The sequence below is a fragment of the Homo sapiens genome, chromosome 4 (assembly GCF_000001405.40).
Source record: "Homo sapiens chromosome 4, GRCh38.p14 Primary Assembly".
Classification (NCBI taxonomy): domain Eukaryota; kingdom Metazoa; phylum Chordata; class Mammalia; order Primates; family Hominidae; genus Homo; species Homo sapiens.
Window position 1 is genome coordinate 82,637,447 of NC_000004.12, and position 14,543 is coordinate 82,651,989.

The 14,543-nt window shown below is 45.2% G+C and overlaps 1 protein-coding gene across 1 annotated transcript in view, besides 1 other annotated feature; it reads right to left on the minus strand.

Moving 5' to 3' along the window:
- SCD5 (stearoyl-CoA desaturase 5) overlaps nucleotides 1–14,543 on the minus strand; it is a 169,258-nt gene that overhangs the window by 7,908 nt on the left and 146,807 nt on the right. The gene's annotated exons all lie outside the window — the stretch shown is intronic.
- Nucleotides 2,632–3,131: an enhancer, noted in NCBI's record as "H3K4me1 hESC enhancer chr4:83561231-83561730 (GRCh37/hg19 assembly coordinates)". NCBI's record gives its function as "activates a minimal SCP1, AML or CMV promoter by ChIP-STARR-seq in naive H9 embryonic stem cells {active_cell/tissue: H9 hESC(naive)}" and the evidence as "EXISTENCE:reporter gene assay evidence [ECO:0000049][PMID:30033119]".

Sequence of the window (14,543 nt, forward strand, 5' to 3'; positions counted from 1 at the left end):
TGTACCCAGCAAACATTTACTGAGTACCTGCTATGTGCCAGACCCTGAGTGTTACTGATGCATGAGCTAAGTGCTGGCAATACAAAGACAAGTTAGGTGAAGCCCCTGACCCAGGCTTCAGCCAAGTGGAGCCACTGCTCACCGCCCTCTTGCCATGCAGGATTGCCTCTATGCAGGGGCAGGAGAAGGGCAGGAACATCAAAGTAACTGAAGCTACCTGTTCATAGTGTGTTCCTCCTTGGCCTCCCGCAGCCTAATCAAGCTTCTGGAAGGCCTCTGTTAAGATGCATATGTATCAACTGGGAGTGCAGGCACAGTGTGAGGGCATGAAATTTGGTAGGTGGAAGACTCTGACTTGAGTCCAAATCTGATTATATATGTTGAACATGCCTCTTTTTTTTTCTTTCTTCTACTGTATGGTTCTTTTTAAAAATTTTTAAGTCCCAGGATTCATGTGCAGGACGTGCAGGCTTGTCACATAGGGAAACGTGTGCCACGATGGTTTGCTGCACCTGTCAACCCATCGCCTATTTATCCTGATGCTTTCCCCTCCCTGCCCCACTGACAGGCCCCAGTGTGTGTTGTTCCCCTTCCTGTGTCCGTGTGTTCTCATTGTTCAGCTCCCACTTATAAGTGAGAACATGCGGTGTTTGGTTTTCTGTTCCTGTGTTAATTTGCTGAGGATAATGGCTTCCAGCTCCATCCATGTCCCTGCAAAGGACATGATCTTGTTCCCTTTTATGGCTGCATAGTATTCCATGGTGTTTAGGACATGCCTCTTTTTATTCTTTTACCCTTCTCCTATGCACAATTAGATGCCCCGCCCCCTGCCCTGCCCCCCCAAAAAAAAGCAGACCACGAGGCAACGGCCGGTGTCTGGGCAGTTTACTCTGGGACGTGAGCTCCATTGACAGGCATGGATGGGCAAATGGGCTCAAGGAAATGGGGAATGGGGGAAGGCCATGACTGCATGCATTAATGGAGTGGCTACTGCTGGGGCAACTGAACTTGGATTTTGATGGGTCACAATATACCTCTGGATTATCTTCTCAGGGAATAAAAGAAGGGATGGTTTTTCCATTGGCTCCAATACCTCCTTGGCATCAAGGGGTGCCACATGGGATATTAGCTCCCCCACACTTCCAGGTCTGCTTGGGTCAGAACAGCCAAGTGGGCTCTGCAGGCATCTCAAGCAGGAAGTAAGAGAAGCCACACAGCTCAGCAAGGCGCTGTTACATCCGTGCCAGCAGGTGGCTGAACAAACAGCTGGGGTGAAAAGCTGGGCTGAGAATATGAGTGTCTTGAGAAGTACCCAACACAGGTAGAAATTGTAGTACTACAGGGTTGTTGTGAGGATCAAATACTAACAGCTAAGGCACACTATGTGCTTACCATATGCCAGGGCAGTTCTGAGACCTTTATATGTATTGACTCATTTAATTCTAACAAACATTCTCTGAAGAAGGGACTATTATCCCCATTTTACAGATAGGGAAATAGAGCAACAGAAAGTTTATGTAGCTGGCCCAAAGTCGCAAGACTCATAGGTGGTGGGACAGAAATTCAAATTCAGGCAGAGTCACTTCAGAAACCACCATGCTATTCTGCCTTGCAACTGAAAAAACATACGTCAATGTGCTTTGCAGACTGCTAGCTGTGCATGTGTCAGCTCCCATCATGGTAAATATTTTTATTGGACACCATATTAACCCATCAGCACCCATTTTCTAGTCACTGGGATACAGGATGGCTGCATTTTAGTGGATAGTGGGTGCCTAGGAAGTCAAATGAGTGGGCTGTGTTTGGAGGGGCAAAGACCAAAGACAACTAAGGGACTCAGGGCCTTAGAGGTGGCCTTCTAGAGTCATGGGCAGAAGGCTCTTAGGGAGTTCTCTCCAGATGATCTGCGAGTAAGGGAAGAAGGCAGCACTGGGTGGAGGGAGAAGGTCACCCACAATGAGTTTCAGTGGATCCGATGGGGCGTTCTGGGCCAGATGATCTTAAGACCTATATGAAATTGAAAGGTATTATCCTTGCATCATCTGGGCATTGGCCTCAGGGAGCCCCTGGGAGGGCAAATGCTTGGGCGAGGCAGCTCTCTGTGGCCAAGGGCAATTTCCAGAAAGGACCACAGCCAAGACGTGGGAGCATCATCTGAAGAGGACGTCTGTGTGGAGCACACAGGCCCTGCACAGGCTGAGGACCTGGGAGCTGGTGGTGAGCATGTGAGGAGGAAAGGACTATGGAGGGAACATGGAAGAGGCACCCAGAGCCTTGGCTCTGCTACTTCTTGTCCGCACCTCTAAGGAGGAAAGCAAACAACTGAACAATGGCAACAGAAGCCATCTTGCAACTCCAGCAGCTTCCTCTCCTTCCTCCGCTCTTTGGATTACAACCCAGGCCTTTCAAGAGAGCCTCTCCCAGTCCTGCTCTGAGCCACTGTCCCCACCCCCATCTTGCTTCTGAAAGAAGAGGGAGAGAAACACGTGTGGAGGGCTTGCTCTCTGCTGGGCCCTGGGCACTTCTCTCTCTGAATGCTTGCAGCAGCTTTGGGGTAGACACCCTCGAGTCATGAAGGCCCCAGGCACAGGGAGGTGCCGTGGCCTCCCAGGGAGAGGCCGAGGCCCGCTCTGGCTCCTGCTCTCTGACCCCTGCTCTCTGACCCCAGTCCTGTGGAATCGGCCTTCTCTGGTCTGACCACAGCCTGCAGCACCCAGCTTCCACTCAGACCCTGCTCCTGCCTCCTCCCTCTGAACTGTTTAAAGAGTCTCCTGCCTGCCTTGGCTCTGGTTCTAGAAGCTCTACCCTGCCAAGTGGGTGGGTCCCTGTGGACGGACAGCACTAGCGATGTGGTTTCCCAGGGGTAAGGAGGAAAAGGCCCGGGCTTCCCCAACTAGAACCACTATGGTCCAGGCACATTGCCTCTTCCTCAAAAAAGACATTCTTAAAAAAAAATCACTGTCCTCATTCCAATGATGCTGCAGAGATCTACTTCTGGGGTTATTCTCTGTATTGTCTTCCCTGTAATCGGCTAGGATTCCTCTTTGTATGTTCAGTAGAATGGATGAAAGAAGGAATTTTTAGGGGGCACAGTAAGTCTGGGTAGGATAGCCAGTGAGATGGGTCTGGATGCTGAACACAGTCTAAAAATCCTCCCTGACTATCTCAAGCCGACTTAGCAAATCTTTCCCAAGTAGGGAGTATCCCTTCCTCCTGTGCACTTTTAGCCTCGAGCAGCTGGTCTCCTTTTAATAACAGTCACTGGCCTTTGTGCTTCAGAAGAAGCACTGAGATGGCTCCCCAGCTTCCTCATCTAATAACACTCAAACATGAATGGTCTGGCCAAGGGGCCACAGAGCAACTCCACGACGCCCTCTTGCACCTACTCCTTCCTCATTTTAGAGATTTCCTTTCGTCATTTGGTGATAGGGAGGAGGGCTGGAGAGGAGTCATTGATGCTGCCCTGTCTTTTTGCTAAATGGGTTTTCTGTTGTTGAAAAGCACCACAGAACATTCAACTACACAACGCCTTCTAGCTGTGTGACCTTGAATGAATTATTTAATCACACTGAGCCTCAGGTTTCTCTTCTGTAAAATGCTGTGCTAATAAATGTATTGGGTGCTTACTACATGCCCTAGAACTGAGACAGAAGGTGAACAAGGCCGGGCGTGGTGGCTCATGCCTATAATTCCAGCTACAGGGAGGCTGAGGCAGGAGAATTGCTTGAACATGGGAGGCAGAGGTTGCAGTGAGCCAAGATCATGCCATTGCACTCCAGCCTAGGCGAAGAAGCAAAACTCCATCTCAAAAAAAAAAAAAAAAAAAAAAAAAAAAGAAGGTGAATAAAACAGATAATCCCTGGCTTTGTGGAGCAGGGGTATACTGGCAGAGATCTATATATCTGGTATATTCTGGCAGGGAAGACAATGAACAATATAAATAAGCAAATTGTAGAGCACATTAGTGGTAAATACCAGGAAGAAAAAAAGCAGAGAAGGAGAATATGATATATTAAGGGCAGGCACTGAAATTTTAAATAGGGTGTCTATGGGAGGGCTTGCTGACACTATGGTTTTTGACTAAAGACTTGGGGAAGTGAGAAGTTAGCCATTTGGCTAACTGGGGGCAGGGGTACCCACAAATAGCAAGGCCCTGAAGCCATGCAGACTGGGGCTGCATGAGACTTGGGGCTGGAGCAGATGAACAAGAGGGAGGGTTGTAGGAGATAAAGTAGGAATAATGGGGGATCAAGTTTGGAGGGTCTCATAGGAGGCTGTCACATGATCCAGGTTAAAGAATATGGTGGCCTGAACCTGGATAGTCATGGAGGTGGTGAGAAATGGTCAGAATCTGGGTATATTTCTAAAGTAGAGTGGCACGACTTGTTAACAGACTCCATGTTAGAGAGAAAGAGTGGAGTCAAGGATGACACCAAGGATTAAGATGCCCTAAGCCGATGTAGGGGAGAATGGAGGAGGAGTGGCATATGAAGAGCTCTGTCTTGGACACGGTAAGAGGGAGATGCCCAATATACATCCAAATGGGGCTGCCAGGTAGAGGATATCAACATATAGGTCTGGAGTTGAGATGTGCCCTAGAGAGAGATGGGGACGGGAGTAGAAGTTTGCAACTCATCAGCATATTTATGATGTTGCTCACATACATTTTTTTTTATGAGTTCCATAATGGCCCTATGATGTAGTTTTTATAACCTCTTTTGCAGGACCTGTGCAGAGGTCCAGAGATGTCTTGGGCCTTCCCCACAGCCACACCGGTTGTATACAGCATGGGCAGGTTTCAAACTCAATTCTTAAACCCTGAATGTCTGATGCCTCTAGTATAACCTGCTGCTCACTCAGCCAACCAAGAACATGGCACACAGAGAGGGAAACTTACCCAGAGATAAACGCGGCTGGAGTGTTGAACATAGACCTGGCCCCATAAGTTGCATATATTTGAGTAAAAATATTGTCCCCTCAGGATTTGAAGTGGATACTGTGTACACTCTAGACAGAATGAGCTTCTTCCTCTTCTTAAACTGAACCACATACTGTCCCGTGTCTATGACACTCTTCCCCAGCCCTGGCTGACTTGCCTCTTCCAAGCATCAGTCTGAACATCACTTCCTCTCAGGGGTTTTCATCAGTCCCCCAGGCGAGGTGCACTGCACAGCATTCCTGTAGCATGTTGTCCTTCTCATCTCTCAGTATTCACACGAGCTGGCTTAACGGGCAGCCTAACCTGCTAGATCAGGGCTCGCAGCCCTGACTGCACATTAGAATAAATTGGGGAACATTTAAAAGTGACTGATGCTGAGCACCCACTGCTGCAGACCAAGTGAATCAGAATCTCTGGTCTGGGCATTTCTATTTTTAAAGCCACCCTGTTGCAAACATTGATGGTAGCTTCCCTTTATTCTTCCTCGTCCCATCCTTTCTTTCTGGCTGGAATGTCTGGATTTTGTTCAGGTATCTAACTGTCCTCCTTGCAGCCATGTCCTTTAGGGTAATGTAGACCCTACCCAGGGCCCTGGTCCTGATTGGTTTAAGGCAATTTTGGTAATATCCTTCACTTTGCAAATAATTAATTTAGGAGTGGGCATGTGACATGATAGAGGCCAATAAGACTGGAGGGGAAGGATGGCCATACCTTTAAAAAAGGGAAGTAAATGTTAGCAAGGATGTAGAAATACTGGACTCCTCAGGTACTGATGGAGGAATGTGAAGTGGCACAGCCACTGCAGGAAATGGTTTGATGGTTTCTCCAAAGGTTAAATATCAAGTTATCATATGACCCAGATTTTCACTCCTAGGTATATATCCAAAAGAATAAAAAGCAGGGACATGAACAGATATCTGTATGCCCATGTTGGTAGCAACATTATTCAGTGGATGAGTAGACAAACAATGCTGTACATATATACAATAGAATGCTAGTCAGCCATGAAGAGGAATAAGATTTTCATATATGCTGCAACATGGATGGGCCTTGAAAACATTAAGATTAGTAAAATAAACCAGACAAAAAGGACAAATACTGTATGCTTATACTTGAGGCACCTACAACAGGAAAATTCATAGCGACAGAAAAGAGAACAGAAATTACCAGGAGCTGGGGGTGAAGAGAAAGTTATTATTTCATGAGAACAGAGTTTTTATTGGGAATGATGACAAAGTTTTCTGTATAGTGGTGATGGTTATACAGTATCATTAGTGTACTTAATGCCACAGAATTGCACTCTTATGAGAGGTTACAATGATTAATATTATCTTTTGTATATTTCACCACAATAAAGAAAGAGAAATACAAGGAAATATCTTCCTCAACAATAGAAAGAGCACAGGGGCAGAAATCATTTCTCTTTCCTGCAGTGACACCCAGTCCGGCAACAGCCATCTGTGACTATGAAAGGAAGAAGCCTGAGAAGCAAAGTTGCCTCTTCAGGCTGACAGAGCAGATGGATGGAGAGCTCCTTGGATAAGCTGTTGAGCCACTGAACTAACCAATCCTGGAGGTGCTTTATCCCTGGTGTCTTACTTTGAGATGCAAGGATGTCCTATTGTTGAAGCCAGTTGAGTCAAGATGTTCTGTAGAGTAGCTAAAAGCATCTTAGCACACCGTAGTGGACATTGTGATGTGCCACCCAGGTCCCCACTTAGGATTAAAGGACTTACTCTCCCAGTAGCTGACAGTGCTGCCTCTGATGGAGAGCTGCCTTGCCTGAGGTCATGCCCCTCCCCTAATGACTGCACATCGGTGACTGACCAGAGAAGCCCGTTGTCCAGGCCTGGTCCCCACTGGGCTGACGAATGTCTCCACTGAGACTGTTCAAAGCCCAGCTTCTCCCCTTTACCCATCTTGCTTCTGCCCCTTCTTCCACATGTATTGATCCCAAGGACCTGCTCCAGTAAACTTTCTACAATGTAATCTCCATCTCAGAGCCAGCTTCTAAGGTAACCAGAACTATGACATGGATACACTGCTGGGCTGGCAGAATTCAGCAGAAAGGCCAACTCTCCAAGGTCTCACAGAGAGAATCCCACATGACAAGCACTCCTAAATATTTGTGGAATGACTAACTGAATGATATTTTGGTTAATAAATGATGAGTCTTGGTTTCCCAGGAAAATAAAAACACTACAGTGATTTCAGTAAGGCAAGGAGTACGATACAATCCCAAGGTTTCCCAAAAACCACAATCATGCAATAACTGTGCAGACTGCTTTTGGGTTCTTCATAAGATGCTTACCTCTTGGACTGGTGCCCATGTAGGATTGTGCACATAAAGCCAAGAACTTAATTAAAGACATTCTTGCTCGTCAGGACCCAATCCCTGGTATCAACAGATTTCACTGTGAGGGTTTCTACCCCCAGTTTAAATGAACAATTTCTGAGCATGAGCTTTTAGGTCATTCCCTGAGCTTCCAATTATTGTAAAATGTTGACAATATTTAAGATTAACAACCACTCTAACAGGTTCGGTCTTGGTTTGGAATGTGAGTGACTTCCTCTCTGCCTATCTATGAACACTCAGACTCTGGGATAGGAGAAGGTGCCTAAACTCATCAAGACAGCAAAAGAGTGGCCAGGCACCGGTGGCTCACACCTGTAATTCCGGCACTTTGGAAGGCCAAGGTGGAAGGATCACTTAAGGTCAGGAGTTCAAGAGCAGCCTGGCCAACATGGTGAAACCCCATCTCTACTAAAAATACAAAAACTAGCCAGGTGTGGAAGTGAATACCTGTAGTCCCAGGTACTAGAGAGGCTGAGGCAGTAGGATCGCTTGAACCCGGGAGGTGGAGATTGCAGTGAGCCGAGATTGTGCCACTGCACTCCAGCCTGGGTGACAGAGTGAGACCGTCTCAAGAAAAAAAAAAAAGGCAAAAGAAAGAGGAAGAACTAGAGGGAAGGGGTGGGATCAACCCAAGAACGACCCAAGAAATAGAGTGGCTCTCCTCCACAGATTTGAGAACACAGACCCAAATATTTGTCAAAAACATAAAGGCAAAAGCAGTCAAACTCACTTTACAGGTTATTTCTAGAGCAGCATTCTATAGCTTGAAGGTGACAACTGACAAGGACAGGTCCACAACAGATGCTGTAAGCCCTTCCACTACCCACCCCTCTCAAATTCTCATCGCACCAATACCACAATTGGGAAGACGTTCCTCAGCATTTAATTCTGGACAAGGAGTCCATTTTTACACAATCAAATGCCATTGCACACAACAGCGCCCCAATCCAAGTAAGCCTTGGTCACAGAACACAAATCCAGATATGGGTACTAACTTTTCAATTACTTCAGCTCCAATAAACTGGATCAATAAAGAGAACTGAAACACTAAGAATAGTCTTGAAACAAAAAATGTATTTTGTGGAGAAGAAAGGATTTGGGATTTCTTTTTATTTCCCCAAATCTGGGTGTGATAAGCATCTTCAAACTCTCATTTTTCTTTGGATGAAAAAGAAATCACCGTTCTCTGTCTGCAAGCGTTTTCCTACTGCTTTGCTAACCCTAAACACAGCAGTCCAGAGCTGGTGGTGTGTGAGATCTTGAGAGTGAAATCTATTAGAGCATGAAGGGGGGGAAATGACCTGCCGACTTCCAAGGGGGCCAGCCTGAGGAAATGTGAAAAGAAGCAAACACCACAACGGGTGAGAAAGAAATTACAGCCCCACAAATGCACTGTAATGATGAGTGATGAGCTGTTCCTGGCATCTTGACTTAACATGTTTGGATTTTTATTTCACTTAAAGCCTGGCCAGAAATTCATTTTCCCTACAATTTTTGCACCTTGCAGGGGACAAGGAAAAATCATGTGGATGCTTAGTAAACACTTATTTAGAGGACAAATGATATGCCCTGACAGTTTGCAAATGCATGGAACATTCTCTCCCCCTTCCTTTGTCTCCTCTGGCATTGCCCACAGGGAATTGAAATATGTGATGCACTTGGATGCACATCTGAAAATGGAGGCCCATTTTGGGGTAGCTCTGTGGAGTGTCGCCGAAAATCTTCCAAACTTTTTGAATTGTTTAAGTTGAAAATGGGTTTTCTCTCTCCTGTGTGCAGTGTCTTTAAGTGAAAGCACTTAGGATTGCTTTGTTTGAAGTATTCTCTGAAAGTTGTAATCGAACTACTCTAGAGCTGGCTTTGACCCTGAATTAGTCTTGACATCTCCTCCCCTGTGCTACTCCATGATAAGCGTTCTGTAGAAGAAAACCTTTCACTTGGATCATCCAGATGCATGGCCTGCATCTTCTGGATGCATCTCCTCCCCTGTGGAGGAAGCAGAGGGCAGACCACTGCTTCACAAAAGCATCTTCTTCAGAACCTTGAAATGCAGCAGAGAAAAGATATTTTTCTCTGGCTTTGGCTTTTTTCCCCCTTTTGAGACGGAGTCTCGCTCTGTCACCCAGGCTGGAGTGCAGTGGTGTGATCTCGGGTCACTGCAACCTCCGCTTCCTGGGTTCAAGTGATTCTCCTGCCTCAGCCTCCCCATTAGCTGGGATTACAGGCATGCACCACCATGCCCAGTTAATTTTTTTGTATTTTTAGTAGAGACAGAGTTTCAACATGTTGGCCAGGCTGGTCTCGAACTCCTGGCCTCTAGTGATCCACCCATCTTGGCTTCCCAAAGTGCTAAGATTACAGGTGTGAGCCACCACACTCAGCCATCTCTACTTTTTTTGGTAGCAAAAATTGTAAAGGAATGACAGTGACACTAGATAGTAGTGCATGTATACATGTGTGTATGTGCCTGTGTGTTCACGTATGTGTGCAAGTGTGTTCCCCTGATTGTTTTAGCCTACATATATGTAGATCTTGTGCTGAAAGGACAACAGACAGAGTACAATCCTCCACCCCATTCAAGGGAGCAAGTTTAACTCCAAAACTCTTTAACAACTCAATAATAAGCTACACACCAGCAGCCAATCAGCCTCCATTTGGGAAAAGAGCCAATGGAGTTATTTTAGCCACCGTCATGATCAATATCAGCTGAGGTAGCTGAATGGATTAGATGGGCTGACGATTTTTCTTGTTGAGGGTAAAAATGAACAGGCTGATATAACACAGCTTCTTCATTTCTCCTGTAAAAGATATGACCCTTGTGCACAACAATGTGCTCTAAAGGTTACGTGGGTCCCTTCCTGTATTCAAGCTGCATTGTCCTCCTCAAGCTCTCTAGTCTTCAGAAATCAGCTCAAGATTGATTTGCTCCAGACAGCCTACCCTGATAGATCTCCTCTCAACTATGATTATTGCATTATTTGATGTCCCTTCAGTATAACCGTGCTGTAAAAACTCCGGAAGATAATCATTTTAAGTAGCTGAGTTTTCTTCCTAGTTGAAGATATACATGTTCAATTACCCGGACTTTTAAAAAAATTGTTTATGTTGGGAATGATAGTAAGAGGAGTAGAAAATAAATACATAAATTGTATATGGAAATCATTACTCATTTTTTTTGCCCTCTTAATCACAGTTTATGAAACAAACTTGACCTTCCTTGATAGTGAGGAATGTCTTAACCTGGGTTCCCCAGATGGCAGGACTCGAGGCAAAAGCTTATGTGCTATTATTTTATAAACAAAGCTCAAGTCCACGAAAAGAGAGTGTGGGAGGCAGGGGAGGTGAGGCAGCTAACAGGACAGTGTGTTACTGCACTGGCCACTATTTGCTATCTCAGTCGGGCTGGACCATCTTCCAAGAGGCCATCTGAGCCACTGAACCTCAGGACATTCCCTCTGGGAGATGTTTGGGGGAAGAATGTCTCACCAGCTCCCACCTTTCATCCCAGCCCCTCCACCACATGCAAACTTCTGGATTGCAAACCTGGAGGCTGAGAGGTGTCTCAGGCTCCAGCATCAACAGAGAAGTCCCAAGGCAGGAGGCCCACACACGCAGGTGTGAAGAGGGTGTGTTGGGATGAACCTACCAAAGCCAGTTGGAGTGCACAGAGAGGTGCTCAGAGCAAATGGCCAAATGCCCTAGGACAGAGGAAGTCCAGAGAGAGTGTGCAGTGGTGCCTAAGAGGTATCTCATGGCATGAGCATGATCTCGAGAAACAACAGTGGATGCTCTGTGTTGGTTTCCAAGAGGGTCGATTGAGGTAGGAGTCTCGGTCTTGTCTGAGTCATTATATATGAGTCAGTTACTGTAAGAACTGGGTCCTTATATTTACTTATTAAATTTTGCTGGCCCATCCCTTAATTTCAGGTCTACCCTGAGCAGCTGTCATTTCTGTTTGTCAGTGTTGCCACCAGCAGTTGCTTCTTTGCTCCTTCTAACTTGTTTCTCTTTATCTGTGAAGGGTTTGAAAACCAGACAACTAAGACTATTCAATTTGTGTGTAAATCAAGAACACATGGGCTCTCGGTGAGACCTGAAGGAGTCGGTCGTGCCGAGACTAAGAGTACAAAATTATGAGGATCATGACATTGATTCGAAGATCTCTTTCTATGGAGGTACAGGATGGAACATGTGCTTTGGCGTTTCGAGGATTCCATGCAAAAATGTATATCATTCTGGCATATAGTGTCTAATAATGGTTCTCTTTGTTTATTTACAGGTCCTTGGTTTATTCCAGTTAAATGAAATTACTAGATAGCTGAGTAGTGAGACACTACTACATTTAGTTTTCACTCCACTATGTGTATTTGAACTTAATGACATTGTTATACTGCTTGTGATTTACTTGAAGATTCTCCAGCATAAATAGGGTGAGAGGGGTGTGTGTGTGTGTGTGTGTGTGTGTGTGTGTGTGTGTGTGAGATTCTTCACCTTAGAGGCAGTTCATTAACATATGAAGTACTGTAATAAAAAAATCCACATTTCAGGTATGCTTAGTGAGCACCTGACAAGCTAATCAGTTCACGTACCAGAGGTCTGTGACAAGGCTTCAACTATTTTTATCTCCAATCACCCCTAAAGAATTTGTAATTATAATAAGGGAAATGAATTTTCACTGGTAAAATAAAGGTGTTCAAAATATTTGGATTGGCTAAAAATACTGTATGGGTACCTCCCAGCAGCAAACATTTTTCAGAGGGGCATTACCTAGGGCCTTGCTCCATCCTGTGTGCCACCACTGACAGGATTCTGTGGCTGGATTCTGAATAGAAGGTGAGCTGTGTGTGCCCTTAGGAGACTACCTTTATCATGTCTTCCATGCAAGGGGCTGTCAGGGTGTCCAAAGGGCAGAGGTAGGTCTTCATCAAGTCTCAGACTGCTACTTGCAGTAGAATTTGTTCTGACAACATGGGATTCTGGTGTAGGGAAGACCCATGCCTTCCTCCTCTTACACTGGAGTTGGCCAAGGTTATTGACAGCAGACATGGCCAAATGGGTCTCCTGTTGAAACATCCACATCTTTGTAGGTAGTTCTCTCCCTGTATCTTTGAGGGTCACCGGGCCTTTGAAGGCAGCATGAATACTGGAGATTACTGTTCGTCTGGCGTGATTGTGCATGAATGGACAGTGTGCTCACAGAGCTTCCCTGCCTCATCCCGGGAGACAGAACTCCAGGCTGGTGAAACACACTTTGAGGGGATGAAACTCCACGAGTGGTGATGTCCACGTGCTGCTTCCTTCAGCATTATGCACACTTCATCCCTGCTAAAGCTGTAGGTCTCAGCCGTAGGTTGTCTAGTGCTCTCTATAAACTAGGTAGTAGACACACTCCTTAGTCCTCAATTATTTTTTGATGGGAGTGGGAGGGGTTGTTAGGTAGTTCAACTGGCTCAGTAAATAGAAAGATGAATAGGACATAGTCCTCATGAAGCTTATAGTCTAATGAGAGAGCTCTATGAGCAGATTATTTTAATATAAAATGATAAGCATAACGGTGAGTTATGCCCATGATATCACAGACCTGCTAAGGAGGGCACTTCATTCACCCCAGGAAAATGGATCCAAAGCTCTTTGGTCTCAGGACCCTTTTACATTAAAAAAATATTTTTGAGGTCACGCACAGTGGCTCATGCCTGTAATCCCAGCACTTTGGGAGGCCAAAGGCCAGTGGATTACCTGAGCCCAGGAGTTCAAGACCAGCTTGGGCAACATGGCAAAACCGCGTCTCTACAAAAAATACAAAAATTAGCCAGGCATTGTGGTACACACCTGTGGGCCCAGCTATTCTGGAGGCTGAGGCAGGAGATCACCCGAGCCTGGGGAGGTTGAGGCTACAGTGAGCCATGAGTGTGCCACTGCACTCCAGCCTGGGTGACAGAGTGAGAACTTGTGTCAAAAAAAAAAAATTATTGAGAATGCCAAAGACCTTTTGTTCATGGGGTTAGAGCTATTGCTATTTACTGTATGGGAAATTAAAACTGGGAAATGTTTTATTAATTGATTAAATATCAAATGTTAATATATGTTAATTATATATAAGATTACATATAAAATATATGCATATTTGTTAATATAAAATTAATATTAAATATATCAATTCATTAAAATAATAAACCTATTACATGGTAAATAAATTACATATTTTTAGGAAAAATAACTGTATTTTTCAATGCAACAAAAATATTTAGTGTGAAGAATGACACTGTGTGGTATCTTTGCAGATCTTCTGGATGTCTGGCTTTATGAAAGGCAGCTGGATTCACCTATCTGATGCTGCAGGCAGTCTGTTGCAATATGTTGTTTTGGTTGAAGTCTATGAAGAAAGTCTGTCTCACACAGATGGTAGTTGGACAAGAGGGCCTTACAGACCCTCTGAAAGGGTCTTGGGGACCCACTGACCAAGACTCTTTGGACTATATTTTGAGAACTACTGACCTTAGCTTCTTAAAGGTGAGTTTTGAAGAATGAATAAGAGTTGGCTAGGTATAAGAAAGAAAGAAATAATGGCATCCACAGCAACCTGGATGGAATTGGAGACTGTTACTCTAAGTGAAGTAACCAGGAATGGAAAACCAAACGTCGTATGTTCTCACTCATGTGGATGCTAAGCTATGAGGACACAAAGGCATAAGAGTGATACACTGGACTTTGGGGACTTGGGGGAAAGGGTGGGGGGTGGTGAGGGATAAAAGATTACACATTAAGTACAGTGTACACTGCTTGGGTGATGGGTGCACCAAAATCTCAGAAATCACCACTGAAGAACTTATCCATGTCACCAAACACCACCTGTTCCCCAAAAACCGATTGAAATAAAAAATTAAAAAATTGGCCAGGTGTGGTGGCTCACGCCTGTAATTCCAGCACTCTGGGAGGCTGAGGTGGGCAGATCACCTGAGGTCCGGAGTTTGAGACCAGCCTGGCCAACATGGTGAAACCCCGTCTCTACAAAAAATACAAAATCAGCCAGGTGTGGTGGCACAAGCCTGTAGTCCTAGCTACTTGGGAGGCTGAGGCAGGAGAATCGCTTGAACCTAGGAGGCGGAGGTTGCAGTGAGCTGAGATTGTGCCATTGCACTTCAGCCTGGGTGACAAGAGCTAAAACAAAACAAAACATAATTAAAATGTAAGAAAAAATTGGCTAGGTAAAAAACAATAAGAACATTCTAAGTCAGTGCTTCTCAAAAC